Source organism: Homo sapiens, chromosome 8 (genome assembly GCF_000001405.40).
Source record: "Homo sapiens chromosome 8, GRCh38.p14 Primary Assembly".
NCBI classification, from domain to species: Eukaryota; Metazoa; Chordata; class Mammalia; order Primates; family Hominidae; genus Homo; species Homo sapiens.
The window spans coordinates 67,090,498-67,110,651 of NC_000008.11; the positions used below are offsets into that span (position 1 = coordinate 67,090,498).

At 36.3% G+C, this 20,154-nt stretch overlaps 1 protein-coding gene and 1 pseudogene across 35 annotated transcripts in view, besides 1 other annotated feature; both read left to right on the top strand.

The window, feature by feature from the left end:
• The window catches only part of CSPP1 (centrosome and spindle pole associated protein 1), a 132,247-nt gene that overhangs the window by 26,130 nt on the left and 85,963 nt on the right, over positions 1-20,154 (top strand). For 17 of the 35 annotated variants that reach the window (XM_011517598.3, XM_047422253.1, XM_047422245.1 and 14 more), the window contains 5 exons: positions 1,306-1,386; positions 3,046-3,144; positions 4,796-5,235; positions 12,540-12,638; positions 15,408-15,478. In XM_011517598.3, coding sequence (XP_011515900.2) covers positions 1,306-1,386; positions 3,046-3,144; positions 4,796-5,235; positions 12,540-12,638; positions 15,408-15,478 — 790 coding nt within the window. The remainder of the gene's footprint in view (positions 1-1,305; positions 1,387-3,045; positions 3,145-4,795; positions 5,236-12,539; positions 12,639-15,407; positions 15,479-20,154) is intronic. The other 18 variants (XM_011517601.3, NM_001363131.2, NM_001363133.2 and 15 more) reach the window with 5 other exon arrangements.
• Positions 8,805-8,928, top strand: RNA5SP268 (RNA, 5S ribosomal pseudogene 268; annotated as a pseudogene).
• Positions 10,003-10,213: a silencer, noted in NCBI's record as "fragment chr8:68012735-68012945 (GRCh37/hg19 assembly coordinates)". NCBI's record gives its function as "represses an EF-1alpha promoter that drives an FKBP-Casp9 reporter gene in an ReSE screen in K562 erythroleukemia cells {active_cell/tissue: K562}" and the evidence as "EXISTENCE:reporter gene assay evidence [ECO:0000049][PMID:32094911]".

Here is a 20,154-nt window from a genome sequence, read left to right on the forward strand (position 1 = left end):
TGGTCCGAACTCCTGAGCTCAAGTGATCTGCCTGCCTCAACCTCCCAACCTGCTAGGATTACAGGTATGAGCCACCCTGCCTGGCCAGATTTAATGAAACTTTATTAATCACTTAGTTTTGCTAATTACTATCTTTCCATAATGTTTTGAATACAACGCTATTGTAGTTAATACGTTGTTTTGCGGTTATTTGCTTACATGTCTGTTTCTGCTACTGAATTGTAAATCCCTTGAATATAGGGAAAATATATTTGTATCCCTACCATCTGAAAATAGTACCTGCATAGTATTAGATGGTTGCTAATTGCTTGTTTAATGAATAAATAAAAGGCATGGAATTAGGCAGGTTGACAATTATTGATTGATTTTATCCTTATAACCTAGTGATGTGTAGATGGCATTATTTCTGTTTTATAGACAAGGAAACTGAAATGAAGTGAAGTAAATTATTCCAAAGTATTTGACTGCTAAGTAACAGTACCAGAAAGTTGGAGATCATATGTATTTTTTTACCAATTGGGGATCATGTGTATTTTTTTTTTCCAGTTCTTTGTATTTGCTTTACAGCTTTCAAAGCGATTTTATATTTTTTGTCCTCCTTCATCCTTATACCAGCTTTGGTAGGTAGGCAGAGCAGGTACTATTCTCATTTTGCAGAAGAAGAAAGTGTCTGTCAGAAAAGTTAAGTGACTTCCCCATTGTTACACAACTGATAAGTGCTTGGGCTAGTTGTAGATCCTAGGTCTTTTGACTGCTAGTCTAATGCTGCCTCTACTACACTGCATTACTTAAATGCTTAATGAACAAGATTGGAGGAACACATAAACAACATTCATAGTTTATATCTATTGGCATTTCAGTAGATATTCACTCACATAATTATAGGAAAAATAGAAAAAAAACTTGTGGCATGCATTAAGATATTTGTGAGGAAGTTTAAATTTGCCTTGAGAACAAAAAGACAGTAGAGCACTGATAATGAAGAGTACATGCTTAGAAGACGAAATTGGGAAATTTTTTTTCATGCTTCTAATCATCTTGAATCAATAGACGTATATATTGCACATGAAAATTAAGGCCTGATTTTCCCTTTCAGGGAGTTGTTGATTGGAAGAAAATTCTCTTTTTTCCAAATGCTTTTGGTATGGTCTATATAGATTTGTAGTTTCTGTCTTCATTCCATTTCATTCATTTGCTCTGCATAATATAATACTAGTTTAGAATATAGAATGCAAAGACACATTTATGCAACATATTTTATAAAGGCAATTAGGTAATATATTTTTTTAATGTGTATATATACAGAAAAATTTTCTATCTACGAGTGAAACAGATCCATCTACTTTGGGAGTTTCTCTTCCTATTGGTGAGAGGTTATCTGCTAAGGTAGGTGGATAGGAGTAGTTATTGTGGGTACCAGTTTTCCGAGGCATCAAAATCATTAAAGAACATACTGCTGATTTAAATGCAAATGGAAGATCACATCATTTCCCCACACTTGAATATATTTCTATTTCAAAAATCCGTGGAGTCATATTTATGCTGTTTAAAAAAATTTTCTTGAACACAACATTTGTAACCATATAATTTTATATTTCTTTAATATGTTGATTCTTTTGCTGTATTCAGTTATACTTAACTGAATATTCAGAATTCATTTTTTTCAGCATTGATTTCTGACTATAAAGTTTATGCTATGTAACACAGTTATTGGAATAAGTGGATGTGAAATTATAGTGAGCTTTTATATAGGGTGAGGGTAAGGGTTCTTTGAATGTGTGATTCTGACACTCCATTAATACACGTCCATATTCCTTAGAGATGAAAGTAATAAAGCACTGTACACCTCTTGTAGTGACTCAGGTCTCACCAGAGTATATCAGAGATCATGAAATAGTATATAAGACAAAATGGACAGTTAATAAATTTCAAAAGACAGACCTAGTTTCTTTTTTTTTGAGACGAAGTATCACCCCGTTGCCCAGGCTGGAGGGCAGTGGCGGGGTCTTGGCTCACTGCAACCTCCACCTCCCCAGTTCAAGCGATTCTCCTGCATCAGCCTCCTGAGTAGCTGGAGGCAGGATTACAGGCCCCTGCCACCAAGCCCCGCTAATTTTTTGTGTTTTTAGTAGAGATGGTGTTTCACAATGTAGGCCAGGCTGGTCTCGAGCTCCTGACCTCGTGATCCACCCGCCTCAGCCTCCCAAAGTACTGGCATTACAGGCGTGAGCCACCGCTCCCAGCTGACCTAGTTTCTTTAGTACTTTTTTAGATTGTGTTGTTTTAGCGACACGGGAGTATTAAAATTTAAGAACATTTTTTAATCATATATTTATGTTTTAACAGAACATTTCATTATAATATTTTATAATCTGTGATAATTTTTCTTTTTAAGTTTAAAATATAAAGGATCATTTTTTAACCTTGGAAAGCAAATGGTTAGCAGCAGGTGCTTCAGGGGAGTGGGTTGGGCATTAGGAGAGGGAGGTGTCCCTGAGAAGGAAAGAAGGAAGGTAACCCCATCATATCTCTTTGGAAACATGCTAATGACAGATCTCCTGGCAAACACAATCATCATATTTACTAGTGGGAGAGATTTATCTCTGAATGCTTTTGGCAGAATACACCTGGTTTGTCTAGGATTGCTGTTGGGAATCAAACCTGGAATCTATGGATTTATGTGGCATGGCTCTTTGGAAAATGTCATCTAAGCTCTGTTAACTATTGGAGTGTAAAATGGAGATGTTTCATGAACGAAGCAACTCCCTTCTGTTAGAGACCTCATGTATTAATGGACCAAAGCATGTAGTCATGCATATTCTCATGTGACAAGAAAGACCTGGGGAGCTGTATGTGTGTCCTCAAACCTCTTCCGACTTCTCCCATGCCTTTCAGTGACATCTGTCCTTGAAATTATTAGTAAAGCTTGATTCTGGGTAAGAGTTCTGATATGTATGATTCAGATTTGACATTCTGATAGGACATTGAGGGATTTTTTTTTCCTGAAGTTGAATTTTAACATTGCCTTTTGATTTTTATTTTAAGGAAAGGTTGAAACTTGAACGTAACAAAGAATACAATCAGTTTCTCAGGGGTAAGGAAGAATCCAGTGAAAAGTTCAGGCAGGTGGAAAAGAGTACTGAGGTAGGTTTTGCTTTTGAATTAAATCTGTACTACTACTACCACAGGTTGAATATTTTGTACTTGAAAAGCTTTTTCTATTTTAGACATTTTACTTTTTTTTGTAAATACTTGCAAAATTAAGCCAAATTAAACCAAACACAGGACATTTAAATATTTAGTTTTGGAAGTTATTTTATCTCATATTGAAGAACTTTTAACATTTAATTGGGGAGATTTAATTTTAGAGATCAGTTTTGTTAAGTGATTTTCATTTATTTTTAAAAATTTAAATGAGTTTTTATGATGACAATTCCTAGCTATGTTTGTTTTTTTCAAAATTTAAGGATCAATTAGCCGGACATGGTGGCAGGTGCCTGTAATCCCAACTACTTGGGAGGCTGAGGCAGGAGAATCGCTTGAACCTGGGAGGCAGAGGTTGCAGTGAGCCAAGATTGCCTCACTGCACTCCAGCCTGGGTGACAGAGCGAGACCTGGTCTGAAAAAAAAAAAAAAAAAAAAAAAAAAGGATGATTGATGTATCTGGGGCCAAAACATTTACCACTTTCTATATCCTTTGTGTTGAGAATTTAATTTGAAATATTTTGAAGTAATATCTCCTGGGATAGGAATTTGCATTTAGTTTATCCTCTCTTTTTTTTTTTTTTTTTTTTGAGACGGAGTCTTGCTCTGTCACCCAGGCTGGAATGCAGTGGCACAATGTCAGCTCACTGCAACCTCCACTTCCTGGCTTCAGGCGATTCTCCTGCCTCAGCCTCTGGAGTAGCTGGGATTACAGGTGCCTGCCACCACGCCTGGCTAATTTTTGTATTTTTAGTAGAGTTGGGGTTTCAGCATGTTGGTCAGGCTGGTCTTGAACTCCTGACCTTGTGATCCGCCTGCCTCGGCCTCCCAAAGTGCTGGGATTACAGGCGTGAGCCACCAGGCCCTGCCACAGAAAGGTAAAATTTTCTTGAAATTTTTTTTTCTAAAAAAATATATGGGTGATTAATGTTGCCTAGGCTGGTCTTGAACTCCCAGGCTCAAGCAATCCACTGGCCTCCACCTAGAATTTTTATGTAATAAGCTTTTCATAAACTGCACAATTTGATGGGTTTTAGAATATGTAAACCACAATCAAGATAACGAGCGTATCCTGTATCCCCCAAAGTGGTTCTGGGACCCTTTGGAATCTGTGTGTCCTCACTGTCCTCCACTCATTCCCATACTGTCTCCAGATCTTCCTGACCTGACTTCTATCACCCTAGACTAGTTTACATTTGATCATTTACTATAAATGGATCATACAGGATATACTAGTTTTGGAGATATGGCTTCTTTCACTCGGTATGATTATTTTGAGGTTCATTTGTGTTGTTGAATGTATGGATGATTCATTCCGTTTTGTTGCATAGTAATGTTCCATTGCATGGCTGTATCAGCTTGTTTATCCATTCCCCTGTTGATGGACATTTGAGTTATTTCTGGTTTTTGCTATTACAAGTAAAGCTCATGTGAACATTAATGTAAAAACGTATATATATATAAATATATGGGTGATTAAATAAACATCAGAGTTGAAATGATAGACTAAGTATAAATTGAGGGTTTAATTACCTTATAAGAGATAGTTTCTTGTCAAGTTTTGTTTCTTTTTTCTTTTTTAATTGAACAGCCCAAGAGTCAGAGAAATAAAAAACCTATTGGTCAAGTTAAGCCTGATCTAACTTCACAAATACAGACATCTTGTGAAAATTCAGAGGGTCCTAGAAAAGATGTCTTAACTCCTTCAGAGGCATATGAAGAACTTCTGAACCAAAGACGACTAGAGGAGGACAGATACCGACAACTAGATGATGAAATCGAATTAAGGAATAGAAGAATTATTAAAAAAGCAAATGAAGAAGTGGGCATTTCCAACCTAAAACATCAAAGGTTTGCAAGCAAGGCTGGCATTCCAGATAGAAGATTTCACAGATTTAATGAGGATCGTGTTTTTGATAGACGGTATCATAGACCAGACCAAGATCCTGAAGTAAGTGAAGAAATGGATGAGAGGTTTAGATATGAAAGTGATTTTGATAGAAGACTTTCGAGAGTGTATACAAATGACAGGTATTTACAACTTCATTTTTATTTTATTTGCTTAATATAGCAAATTAATTGTTAATATTTGCTGTTGTTACTTTTTATCATTATACTAGGGAGAAGCAGTTTTGATTTATCATAATTAATTCTAAGATGCTGTCAGTTTTAAGATGCATCATTATTTTATGTCCCACTGAGGGGAAAAAGAAAACACTCAAGGTGGGGGCCCTGTTGTAAAGTTGGAAAACTGAAAGGCTACACCCTTTATGTAAAAGTATGTGAATTGGAAGTAGTCATTCCCACAGAAAGGGACAGAGAGGAAATGTCCACATCCCAACCTTGGCAGTGAGTAGAGAGTAAAGATACAAACAACCTTCCTTGAGAATTTGAAGTGTAAATTAGTAATGATTCAAGTTCACAGTCCGAATTCATACTGCCAGTAGCGTCCAAAGAAACCTTGAGGCAAGAATTCAGAGTTTTCTCAATTCATAGTGCTCTTGGATGAGGGGAAAAATAACTCTGCAATAACTTGACATAAAACCAGGTCATTGGCTGTTCTGACTTCCAATATTAAAATGTGGCCAGGCATGGTGGCTCATGCCTGTAATCCCAGCACTTTGGGAGGCCGAGGCGGGCGGATCGCGAGGTAAGGAGGTTGAGACCAGCCTGACCAACAGGGTGAAACCCTGTCTCTACTAAAAATACAAAAATTAGCCAGGCATGGAGGTGCGCATCTGTAATCCCAGCTACTCAGAAGGCTGGGGCAGGAGAATCACTTGAACCCGGGAGGCAGAGGTTGCAGTGAGCAGAGATCACGCCACTGCGCTCCAGCCTGGGCGGTAAGGTGAGACTCTGTCTCCAAAAAAAAAAAAAGTGTGGCTGGGGGTTGTGCCTCACGCTTGTAATCCCTGCAGTTTGGGAGGCCAAGGCAGGCAGATCACTTGAGGTCAGGAGTTTGAGACCAAACTGACCAACATGGTGAAACCCCATCTCTACTAAAAATACAAAAATTAGCCAGGCGTGGTGGGACGTGCCTGTAATCCCAGCTACTCGGGAGGCTGAGGCAGGAGAATCGCTTGAACCTGGGAGGCAGAGGTTGCAGTGAGCCGAGATTGTGCCACTGAACTCCAGCCTGGGCGACAGAGCGAGACTCTGTCTCAACAACAACAATAAAAATAAATGAATAAAATAAAACGTGTGAAAAAAGGATACCTTAAAATAGATGAAATACAATTTATTCCTGTAGTCATAAGTTTTTTCAGTCAGATTTTCAGATGGTTTTCAGTTCCTTTGAATGTTTTTGTGACACTATTTATAATTTCTTAACTGCTACAATGAGGTTTTATTGTTGTATTTATCATACATTGATACTTGCCATAGTTTAACCTAACTTGTTTTGGAGATAGGAATACCTCAGGGTCTCATATTTGTCATTGACTTGTTTACTTGACAAGTGTTAATACATTTTGAGTAGCTTTTGGGACCTGCTTTATTTGCTAGTCCAAATAGATTAGTTTTTAAGTATTTTAGAAAATGTTTTCGGGGTAGTGCTGTACATTCAATATTCTAACTATTAATTACAATACAAAGCTTTTACAGTTCTTTGTCTTCTACATTCTGTAGCTGTTATGTCCTCACACAATATTTTTAATATTTACCTTGATTTAGGTAATTTGAATGAAGGATTAGAATTTGGAAATGGCAATTATAGTTTCTCTGATCTGAATCTAATTGTTTATACTTCAGAAAATTCTCCAAATCCTATAATGTTATATTTGAAAATGCTTATATGTAAGGTAATTAAAGGCTGACTAAACTAAAATAATTCAGTTGGGGAACTGCAAGTAATCTTTGACTCTTGGTGATAATGTCTCCTTTGTACATGAGAACTTCTTTTCCCTTTATGGTGTTTGTTTACGTTTAGGGTGAATGTAATGCATACCCTTTTAAGTTTGGAATTTTAAGAAACATAATGGTTGCTTCTTTGTTTTTTTTTAATCTATTACTTTTATAATTATATCCTGTGATAATTTTATACATGAACTAACAAATGAATATCATTCTATTTGAGAACTCTCATATCTTCTTATGTATCCCAAAATAAAATGAACTCCTTCAATATAAACTTTTCCAAATACTATTTAAGAATAGATTAAACATGAGGTTGAGTGAGAATAATTCTTGTTAAATACTTTAAAGTGTTTCTTCAATATATAAATCATATTTTTATTTCGTTTTTATATAAACTCTGACATCTCCAAGTGTTTTTTCTTATGTGTCTCTTTAACAATTTAATTTAAAATGGGATTTCTTTATTTCAGATTTATAGATTCCTTATTTCCAGCAAAAAAAAAAAAAAGACCAGTCATTCAGTAGTTTATAAATAGACTGGTTTAGGAGAAATGACTGTATTTGTGAAAATTTTGAGACTAAAGAAATGTGGAACTGAGTTTCATCTCTTGCTCCAAGCATTTATTCTTAACATACTATGCAATCTTGATCAGAAGTTCTTGACAAAAAATAATTATAATGTATTATGAGAAGTGCACAGTTAATTTTCCTTCATTCTTCTAAGTTTTCTTTGGTCTTTTTTTTTTTTTTCCTTTCCTAAAAGTCAGCATCTGGTAAATTCTAGTTTTGGTTTATAATAATTTTTTATTTTTGGTTTCAATTTTTCTCTACCCTATAAACGTTTACTTTTTTTTCATATACCATAATTATTAATGAAATATTTCCCCATACTTAAATATGGGAAAGCTAAAACTTTTCTCAGAAAATGATGTTGCCTTCCTAAACTCATATCATGAAATCACTGACAGCATTCTTAATTAACAAGGTGGTTAACACTGTAATTGATAGTTGCATTCTGTGTGTGTATGTGTGTTGTTTATTTATGCATATTTACCAATTCAAGTAAAATTTATCATGTTTTAGGAGCTTTCTAAAGTAGAATGTAATAGCATGTCTTAAGATACTTTGAAATTTATAAGCTCTATTTAAATATAGTAATCCTAGTCTTATTTATTAACTTGAACTGTAGAAGTTAATATTTTACTTTATTATCTTTTACTTTAACCAATGTTAATGAATAAAAGAAGTTTTACTTCTTAATACCCAAAGAAACCAGGTACAGAGTAGATGGGGTTGATAATAGAAAACACTGCTACCAAAGTAAATATAAAAATTGGGAAAGAATGGAAAACAAAGAGAAAAATGATTGTCCACAGTTAACATCTCAGAGTGTTTCATTAGCTTCTTTTTTTTTTTTTAAAGATTAACATGTGTTCATTTTTAGGATAAACTTGGCCTGTACCCTATACCTGGTTTCTTTGGGTATTACGATTTTTACCTGATCAACTAGAGTTGTTGACTCTTGTCTTCAAGGAAATAGGGAGAAAAATATTTTTTTCATTTAAAATACCTTTTTTTTTTAGTTAGTAGGATGGTGAAACCATTTTGCAGTTATTTTATTCCCTCAATCATATCTGATTTGCATTTCAAAGTTATGAGTTCTGTCCCTTTGTGACAAAACCCAACATGTTAAGGTGTGGTAAGTGAACTTATATATTAAAAGCCATAGAATATTTAGATAGATTTTCTATGGCTATACCACCCTGGAATGTGCCTGATCTTGTTTGATGTTGGAAACTAAGTAGGCTTGGACCTGGTTAGTAATTTGGTGGGAGAGTATTTAGATAGATTACTTTTGGGTCACAAGGATAGTCTTAATCTGGTACTCTCACAGTGAAACATAAAGGGGTTCCAGGGACAAACTGAACCTAAACAGAACTCCTGAACTTTGATTAGAATCAAATGGTTCTTAGACATTTAGTGAGTGCATTACTTTTGGATATTATCATCTGTCTGTTTTCCTTTAATGTTGAGATGATTGAATAGAGATGTAGCCGTGGTAAAACCACTGCTGATTCTTACTAGTTGCTTTCTTCAGAGAGGACTTTTTTTGTTCAGAAAAGGTTACAACAATAAATTGTAAGACCATAAAAGCTGTTTTAAGTGAACTAACAGAGCTAGTTCTGGGTGATTAAATGCTAAATTTATTAGAAATATAAAGGCCAATTTAGTAAATGAAGGAAATGCCATAAAAATTGTAGGGATATTTTAATAGAGAATAAGGTGGCTAACTTACCAAACTATAGTTTGTCTTTTCAGCTTAATTTCCCTTCAAGGTTTCTTTTTTTTAGGTCTTACATTGGTAATTTAAAAAAAATTATAAAATCTGTATTTGTAAACAGTAATTCTTCCTTGACTTAAAAAAGATAAACAAATCATATGTCATTTCATAAAATTGAATAGTATCCCTAAGATTTTATTATCTTTTTAGTGAAATGCTTATTTCTGCTCTTTTTTAGCCTCTTAAACATTTTTCGGTCTTGATCTTATAATTATTGGTGACAGAGTGGACTTTTATAATCTTGTTAATGATTTTTTTCTTCAATGAAAGGTATACCTTAGAACATCTTTCATATGTGCTGCTCACTAGGAAATCTTTTGATTTTGCTGTAGATTTTAGCAAAGAGACCTTAACCTTATACATAAATAAAATCATTTCTTAAATTAATTTAGGATGAACTTTGAAAATGACCTCTTGTGTTTATGGTGTTTGCTTTACTATCTATATACACTGAAGAGACTGTAAAAGATTTTTTAGTGTGGATACCTTGGGTGCAGTGGTGGTATAAAGATAAGCTAGAATTATTAATCTAAATATTATCTTCAGAAAACTTAACTAATAATTAAGGAAGCCACAAGCCCTATGTTAATTTTAGAAAAAGCTTTTGTATATTTAACTGGCCTTTAATTCTGGGACCCCAAGTTATGCTTTTAAGAATTTGTAACTTTAAATTTCTATTTAATTTTTTTCTTTTTTTTTTGAGACAGGGTCTTACTCTGTTGCTCAGGCTGGAGTGCAGTGGTACAGTCTTGGCTCACTGCAACCTCTGCCTTCCAGGCTCAAACAGTCCTCCCACTTTAGCCTCCCAAGTAGCTGGGACTATAGGCATGAGCCGCCGTGCCCGGCCTCTGTTAAAAAAATTTGTAATAAAGATTTCTTTATTATTAAAGAATATATATATATATATAAATAAAGATTATTTTTATATGTAATTTTTTTTTGGCCTAGATACCTCTTTACTACACCAGTGAATTTACTTTTTGTGTTGTGTCATGGGTTCTCAAGAAAACCTCTAGGTTGGGTGATTTGCTAGGAGGATCCATAAGGACTTTGGGTATAGTTGTAGTCACAGTTATAATTTATTACAGCAAAATGATACAATGCAAAATCAGCAAAGGTAAAAGGCACATGGAACAAAGTTTGAAGGAAACCAGGCACAAGCTTCCAAGGGGTCTCTCCCAGTGGTGTCACACAGGAGATGCTTAATTCCTCCAGCATTGAATTGTAACAATATAAGGAAATGTCTGCCAGGAAAGCGATTAGACACTTGGTGCCCAAGGTTTTTATTGTGGGATGGTTACGTAGGCACCCTGTACCTGGCATGTACCAAAATTCCAGACTTCCTGAAGAAAAGCAAATGTTTAGCATAAACTATAGTTTGTGTAAACAGTTTAAGCACAGTGAGCTGCTCTTATCAGTTCTGCCAGTGGTTGTAACTCTCCCAAAATCTATATTCCCAGGTGCCAGCCAAGGGTCAACTGTACAGTCAGGATTTTCTGAGGATAGGCAGTCTCAGGCCTGCTCTGTTAACGCTTTTCTGCATTATATATAAATATCCAGTATAATTAAATCTGGTTGCCTGGCAGTGTTAATTACAAATTTGAATTTGAGTTTGTATTTACCTGTTTGTTAAGTGGTAGAAGTAGGGAATGACACTAAACTGATGTGTCATTCACACATCAGAATGTGTGTATGTGATCTGTGATCGATTAAAAAATGGAAGCCATTCATGCGTTATGCCATGTCATAGTTACTAAGATTAAAATTCCAAATAGTGTTTTCTCCACAGATGATATTGACAGTGGCTTGTATGATGGAAACAAGGGAAGAAAGAATTTTATATGCTGGTTCTGTGGAGAGTGAGAAGTTTCTTTTTTTTTCCGGAAAATTGCCATTTTTCTTAATCCAATAATGAAATTCACCTAAAATACTGAATACTGCTTTAACAACCATATTTCTTTGTAATAGTCCTCTTGAGAAAGACAATATAGTTGGGTAACTCAACAGCCATGTAAAGAAACTTTGAAATGCTTATGAAATGCTGATTTTCACGGATGCCAATAAGTGTTGGTGTAAAAAGTCATGTTGGTTTTATGGTATGAGAAATTAAGCTAAAAATAAAATCAGTGTTTGCCAAATGGAAAAAAGATTGATTGAAAAACATTTTTTCATTATTATTTTCCAAAAAGGTTTTTAAAGAAGAAAACAGAAAACATGCTAATCTTTCTTTTTGTTGTTTATGACCTCGTAAGTAAAGTTAGCTAATCATTTTCTCTGTTTATATTTTCCATTCACCTATCAGTAACATTTATTCTTTCCTGTGATTTACAGTGTTAGCAAATGTCATGGTTTGTTATATTTTATTTAATTTATTGATAAGACTGCTGCTGTATTTTTAAGTTAAAAAGGTTATGACAGGTCGCGGTGGCTCATGCTTGTAATCCCAGCACTTTGGGAGGCCAAGGCGGGAGATCACAAGGTTAGGAGATCGAGACTATCCTGGCCAACATGGTGAAACCCTGTCTCTACTAAAATACAAAAAATTAGCCAGGTATGGTGGTGCGCGCCTATAGTCCCAGCTACTTGGGAGGCTGAGGCAGGGGAATCACTTGAACCCAGGAGGTGGAGGTTGCAGTGAGCCGAGATTGTGCCACTGCACTCCAGCCTGGCGACACAGCAAGACTCCGTCTCAAAAAAAAAGAAGGTTATACGTACAATGAAATAATTCACAGACTCTATGAATTTTGATTTAAAAAATGTTCTCATTTTGAATTTTGACTATAATCTTTGTGAGTGCAGGGACTGTGTCCGAATACCCAGTAGGTGTTCAGTTATTCACTTTTAAATTGAATGATAAAAAAGTGTTAGTATATTTGTAGTTTTAAAAATAAAAATTTATAGCAAGTACATTAAAATAACATAATCTTTTTAGAAAAGATTATTACGTTTAAACTCTTAGTGTCTCATTAACCAGCAGATCATACAAATTCTATTTAATTTTATAATGCATTTATAGTAAAACTTCATTATAACACTTTGTTCCTTTTAATGTTGCCAACATCAAATGTAAAAACACCAAACTGTTATAAGAAGGTCCACTGTATGTGGCACATGCTTTATAAGCTAATGTGTTTTTAAGGATGCACAGGAACAAACGAGGGAATATGCCTCCTATGGAACATGATGGGGATGTTATAGAACAGTCAAACATAAGAATTTCATCTGCTGAAAATAAAAGGTACAGTATGTAATATAAATTCTCTGCTTTAGTCATTACATTGTGAAACAGAATGTGCCTAAAACTGGCTAACTGAAAAAGTAGAAAGATACAGTAAATTAACAGCCTTCCTTCTTAGTGAGAAGTGAATTAAAGGAAAAGAAAGGTGGGGAGGTAGTACTAAATGAAAATCGATAGTACTTTACAGCATTCTTTTAAAGAACAAGTTTTGGTTATAAAGTGTGCCAAGGTGTTCTGAAGAAGTCCCTATCATTACAAAGTATGTAAATTTGTTTGAAATAATAAAAGAAATAAGTATAATTTAATGGACTAAAAATCAACTTAAAATATCTTAGAGTCATGGTGATGCAACTTGACTGGAAATAAATTGAAAATGTGGCCGGGCCTGGTGGCTCATGCCTGTAATCCCAGCATTTTGGGAAGCCGATGCAGGCGGATCACTTGAGGTCAGGAGTTCAAGACCAGCCTGGTCTGGCCAACATGGTGAAACCCAGTCTCTACTGAAAATACAAAAAAAAAAAAGAAAAAGAAAAGAAAAAATTAGCCAGGCGTGGCAATCCCTGTAATCCCTGGTAATCCCTGTAATCCCAGCTACTCGGGAGGCTGAGGCAGGAGAATGGCGTGAACCCAGGAGGCGGAGCTTGCAGTGAGCCGAGATCGCACCACTGCACTCCAGTCTGGGCAACAGAGCAAGACTCCCTCTCAAAAAAAAAAAAAAAAAAAAAAAATTGGAAATGTTCCTGTGGTGTGAATTTTTCTTTCAAAAGTTTATTTTTGATTTTCAGTTTATCAAGTAGATAGCTTTTATGCCTACTTTGTAAAATTAGTGCTCATATATTTCTGTCATGTTGAAAGGAAATTGTATGTATTTTATATTTATGTTCTCTTTCTACTTACAGTTTTTTATCATTTTGGTGGCATTCCTGTGTCGTACATAAGGATAAATGATTTTGAATCTATAGTATACAGTGAAGATAATGTCATATGTCAAGAAAGATGTCTATTTTTTTCTAAGAAAAGTAATATATAAACACTGCTTGCAATAAGATAATTTGCTGTTTTGTTCTAATTGATTAAGTTTCCTTTGAGGATTTTTTTCCCCTTGTTTCTGTCTTCCAAGAAAGGTTTTTTTTTTTTTTTCTTTTTTGAGACAGAGTCTCGCTTTGTTGTCCATGCTGGAGTGCAGTGACATATTATAGCTCACTGAAACCTTGACTTTACAGGCTCAAGTGACCCTCCCACCACAGCCTCTGGAGTAGTTGGGACTACAGGCATGTGCCACTATGCCTGGCTAGTTTTTTAAAAAATTTTTTTGTAGAGTCAGGATCTCTGTTGTCCAGGCTGGTCTTGAACTCCCAAACTCATGGTGGGATTACAGGCATGAGCCATTGCGCATGGCCAGGAAGGAGTGTTTTTAGGGATGATCTTTTCTAAGTATGTGCATAGATCACTCTTTCTTTTCCTTTTTTTTTATTTTTTATTTACGTGCACTTTTTTTCTTTTTCTTTTTCTTCTTTTTTGAGACAGAGTCTCACTCTGTCACCCAGACTGGAGTGCAGCGGCACGATCTCAGCTCACTGCAATCTCTGCCTCCTGGGTTCAAGTGATTCTCCTGCCTCGGCCTCCCGAGTAGCTGGGATTAGAGGCGTGTGTCACCACGCCTGGCTAATTTTTTTGTATTTTTAGTAGTGATGGGATTTCACCATGTTAGCCAGGCTGGTCTCGAACTCCTGACCTCAGGTAATTCGCCCGCCTTGGCCTCCCAAAATGCTGGGATTACAGGCATGAGCCACTGCTCCCGGTCTTACATGCACATATATATATATATATATTTTTTTTTTTTTTTTTTTTTTTTTTACTGGGGTAGCTGTTTTTTTATGAAAAAGGATTTTTTTTTTTTTTTTTTTCGAGACAGAGTCTTGTTCTGTCACCCGGGCTGGAGTACAGTGGCAGGATCTTGGCTCACTGTACCCTCTGCCTTCCAGGTTCAAGTGATTCTCCTACCTCTGCCTCCCAAGTAGCTGGGATTATAGGCGTGTGCCACCATGTCCAGCTAATTTCTGTATTTTTAGTAGAGATGAGGTTTTACTGTGATAGCCAGGCTGGTCTCAAGCTCCAGACCTCAAGCGATCTGCCTGCCTTGGCCTCCCAGGGTGCTGTAATACAGGTGTTAGCCACCACGCCCAGCCTGAAAAAGATTTTATTTGAGAACCTATACAGCCAGTGAAGCAAGCTGAATGTTTTTGTTTTTGTTTTTGTTTTTGATATGTGTCTCACTCTTGTTGCCCAGGCTGGAGCACAATGATGCTATCTTGGCTCATTGCAACCTCTGCTTCCTGGTTTCAAGTGATTCTCCTGTGTCAGCCTCCTGAGTAGCTGGGATTACAGGCCTCCACCACTGCACTCAGCTAATTTTTTTGTATTTTTTATTAGAGACGGGGTTTCACCATATTGGCCAGGCTGGTTTCCAACTCCTGACCTCAGGCAATCCACCCACGTAGGCCTCCCAAAGTGCTGGAATTACAGGTGTGAGCCACCATGCCTGGCCAAATTATTATTAATTTTTTAAGCCTGAATACATTGGAGTTGCACTGTATAAAGAGATAGAATGCCATGATTTTACCTTAACCTTAAAAATTTGTAAATATTTTAATGTCCATAGTACTTTGAAAGGCTAATAATTCATAGCTACATTTTACTCTGAAATTTTGCTTCCTGAAAATTATCTGGATTTTAATTTACTCTTTTTCTCTGTCTTTTTTTCTTTAGTGCTCCAGACAATGAAACATCCAAATCTGCTAATCAAGATACCTGTAGTCCTTTTGCAGGGATGCTCTTTGGTAGGCACAAAACTTCCAACTAGTTGCGCTTGTATAGAGTGTCTTATAATCCTTTTTTAAGTGAGAACTCAGTGTTGTAATTAATACTATTTTTACTAATAGTAGAAAATATTTGTAAGTGCTTACTTTACACTAGGTACTATTCTAATCATTTAACATATATAGCTCTGTATAATTTTATTTTGTATTTTTAAAATTTTATGTATCTTCTTATTTTTACTCATGATGTTCATGAACACATCTATGTATAATTTTAAAGCTAAATTATTTAGTGATGTGCTTTCCGTAGGTGATAATGAAATTATTAGTTTCAGTAATCTTTTTTTTTTGCAAAATGGATTGATCATTACCAATCAGTAATGAGCTTTTAATTCCATATTTTATTAGCACTCTGTTGCAGTGTGGCTGTTTCTTTTCTGCTTTTAAAAAGTATTTTGTTTTATTTATGATAGTTTTTTCCTTAATTCTTCTTTCTAGTTTCTTTAGCTAGTACAAAACTGCTGTGTATTTTAGTTTCTTTTCTCCAAATTAAACCTTTCTTTCCTTTGTTCTTTTCATGTAGTTTCTGAGAAGGTGTTTTGTTCAAATCGTGATGATGGTCTAAATTTTCTATTTATTGGAAGTCAAGGTCATTGCTGAATATAAGCTTGTTTTGCTATATTACACTTGGCAAAATTTAATACCAGAAACTGTGAGGAGAGACTTGTTTCTGGTTTATACCTTTAAATATGTAATAGAAAAGAGGTCTTTTTGTGAAAACTGTTAGAAAAAAATGAACTGAAATTTGGTTTTAGTAAAGTATATGAAGAAATTAACACTCTAGATTCATTCAACGTAAAAACAGTCAGTAAATTAAATACTGGTTTAGAGACATATTATTGCATTATATTGTCAGGTTTTTGTTCCCTTGTGAATGGCTATTGTGAGAAAAATGGCATGCCACCTAGAATTCTAGTGTAATATCTGTAGGTGAAAATTGACCAGTTTAATCAGTACCATGTAAAGGCTATATTCTTTTTGTTTTGTTTTTATTTATTTATTTTATTTTAAATGGCTATATTCTTATGTTTTGTTTTTTTTTTTTAATTTTGAAATTGAGTTTCGCTCTATCACTGAGGCTGGAGTGCAGGGGCACGATCTTGGCTCACTGCAACCTCCACCTCCTGGGTTCAAGCGATTCTTGTGCCTCAGTCTCCTGAGTAGTTGGAATTACAGGCATGTGCCACCATGCCTGGCTAATTTTTGTATTTTTAGTTGAGACGGGGTTTCACCATGTTGGCCAGGCTGGTCTCAAACTCCTGACCTCAAGTGATGTGCCTGCCTTGGCCTCCCAAAGTGCTGGGATTATAGGCGTGAGCCACTGTTCCCGGCCGATGTAGTTTATAAAACATGGTAAAATAAGAGAAATGTCTTTCTGAGCTGAGAGCCTACTGATAAATAATTTTATCAATAAAAGGATTATTGTACCCTGACCTTTTAAAGATGAATGGCATGAGTTTATCACTAATGCAATCCAGGATTTATAGATGAATATTTGGTAAGACAATGGACTCTAACATTTGAAACTGTTAAAGTCATTTAATTCAATGACTTACCTCCTGGTTGATCTTTTCCCCCCAAAACTATGTTTGTACATACCTATAGGAAACTTACGATTTCCAGAGACAGGACATTCCATCTTCAGATGGCTGTGATTGTTATGATACTCTTATTTCAATTGAACTGAAATTTATCTTCCTATAATTTTGCCCCAAGGATGTCACTTGGGACCTTTTGCTTTATTTAAAAAGTGAGATCATTGATTTAGTTTAGAGCTAAATAGGAAATGTATTGTGGGGTTTATAAGAGAACCATAGGTAATTTAGAAGTATGTTTTAAAATTTCCAAGCATTTGGGGATTTTCCTTCTATCTTTTTTGTTATTGACTGCTCGTTTAAGCCTCTTATGATCCAAGAATATAATTAGATTAATTTCAGTTATTTCAAGTTTGTTAATTTCTTTGACAAAGTTTTTTTTTTTTTTTTTTGTTTGGGTGGCTCAGAATATAGTCTGTCTTGGTGAGTGTTTAGTATGTACTTGAAAGAATGTGCATGGTGCAGTTGTTGAGTATAGTAGTTGATAAATGTCATTTAAGGTTGGGTGTGGTGGCTCACACCTGTAATCCCAGCATCTTAGGAGGCTGAAGCAGGAGGATCACTTGATTGAGCCCAAGAGTTTGAGAGCAACCTGGGCAACATAGGGAGACCATGTCTCTACAAAAAGTAAAAAATAAAAAAATTAACTGGGTGTGGTGGCATGCACCTGTAGTCCTAGCCACTTAGGAGGCAGAAGTAGGAGGATTGCTTAAGCCTGGGAGGTTGAGGCTGCAGTGAGCCGTGATTGTGCCACTGTACTCCAACTTGGGTGACAGAGTAAGACCCTGTGTCAAAAAAAAAAAAAAAGAGTTAAGTCAAGTTGGTTCATCGTATGTTCATGTCTTGTATATCCTTAATGAATTTTATCTGCTTCTATTGATTGCTTAGAGAGAAGTGTTGAATTCTCTATCTTGTCCTTCGTGTGAGGCCTGGAGTGCCAGAGAGATTTTTCTTAGTGTTCCTGCACTTTCCCCAGTTTTCAGCAAGACCTTCATGTCCTTGACAGTGAGGGCATCTCTCCCTCCACACTTTCCCCTTCTCCGCAGTATATTGCTGTTGATTGTTACTTGATGCTGGACTGGTCCTGTGCATCTGGGCCTCAGGGATGGGTCTTTCTCAACATTACTGTCCTTGCCCAGGATGATAGCTAAACTCTTCTTTGTGTCTGAGGAGGGTTTTGCATCAGATTTTTCACCAGATTTTTTTGCCCTTCCCCTAACAGTAACAAGCCTTTGCTATATAAGAGTGTGGGATACTGGGTCCAAGCTGATTTTCTGTCCCTTCACCAATAGCTTGCAGCTTTTGCTTTGTATAGTCTGCTTTGAAAGTCTGGAATGTGGGCCATGTTTTGTGCCTGAATGTCACAAAAGTATCTCTTTCAGGTCTTCTGTATTGTTTGATCCCAGTTTTTCTAGTGAACATTTGAAAATTGCATTCAGGCAGCAACTCCAGTGGGTCAAGTCTGGGCATGGTTTACTGAACAGATCCTTTGTTAATGGTCTCAAAAGGCTATAATCAAGGTATCCGCCAGGCTGCCTTTTAACCGGAGGCTTGAGTGGGGCAGAATCTTCCTCTAAGCTAATTCAGGTTGTTGGCAGAATTCATTTCTTTGTGGCTGTATGACTGAGGGCCCTGGCTTCTTACTGGATACCCACTGGAGGCTGCCCACAGTTCCTAGTGGCCATCTGCTGTTCTTGTCATGTGGGCTTCCTCACCATGGTTACTCACTTTATGCCAGCAAGAAGAATCTCTAAATTCAGGGAGGGCCCAGTCCTTCTTCTAAGGGCTTTCACCTGATTATATCAGGTCCACCTAAGATAATCTCTCTTTTAATTACTTCAAAATTAGTTGATTTGGTACCTTAGTTACATCTGCAAATATTTTTCCATCCTTCCATATTCTATTGTATACAAGTAAGTTACAGGTCCTACCCATTCTCAAGGGGAGGGAATTATACAGGGATTCAGCTGGGAGCAGGGAACATAGTAGCCATCTTTAAAAAATTTTGCCTACCATTGTCGCATTTCTCTGTTACTAATGTTGCAATCTCACACATGCTCCTTAATGTAGCAGTTTCTCATTGTCCGAACTAGTACCCCAGGTTCTTTGTCCCATATCCGAGAAAATTAAGAAACATAGACACAAAGGTGGGGTTGGAGTGAAAGTTTAATAAGTGAAAGAAAAAAAGCTCTCTGCAGGAAAGAGGGGAGTCCAAGTGGATGGCGGGGTTACAGCTGAATTAAAAAGCTTTTGTAAGAAACTCTTCATCTCTGTAGGAGTTTGAGTAACTTATTTTATCAGTAAAGCTGTCTGTGCTACTCCCGTTATCTTATACAGCTGTGGGTACGTCTTTAGGCAAGCAGAAATCGGCTTGTCTTGTTTGTATAACTGTGGGTTTGTTTTAGATAAGCCACCCCCGCCCCATCCCCATGCAAGTTCCCACCATGAATATGCCTAAACTGGGGTGGAAACTTTTTCCTGGGAGTTCACTAATTAGACAAAGAACAAAGAGCTCTGTGCTAGATCCTGTTTGCTTATCTGTCCAGGTGCAGTCTGAGGTTTTTTTTTTTTCCCCAGGTTGTTTTATTTTTGCCTGTTGCTGTGACTTTTCAAGCAGGCTGCTTCTGCAGTCTGAATTTTTTCCCAAATGATTTTTCCTTTCCTTCTCCCTCACTAAAGACCAACTTGATCTAAGTTCAGTTTTAAGCTTAGCTAAGGACCTCTAGAGTAGCTTTCCTTTCAGAGAATAGTTTAGTCTTACTACTACAGAGTGACCTTTCTGACATGTTCCCTGAGAGACCACCAAGAACATAGCTGGCTGGAGCTTGAATTTTGCTCCTTTGTTTCAGGTCTGAGAATTGTTCAGTTTATATCCTTCTTAGTTTGTTGCCAGGCCAAATGGAATTTCACTCTGTGAATGCACAAACTAGCACACTGCAAAGTCTGAAGGGACCTCCTGTGGATTTCTGGAGCTCTTTTTATGCTTCCTATTGGATCTTTGCTCCATAACTTCTAGCCATTTTAGCCTTCCTGAATTTTGCT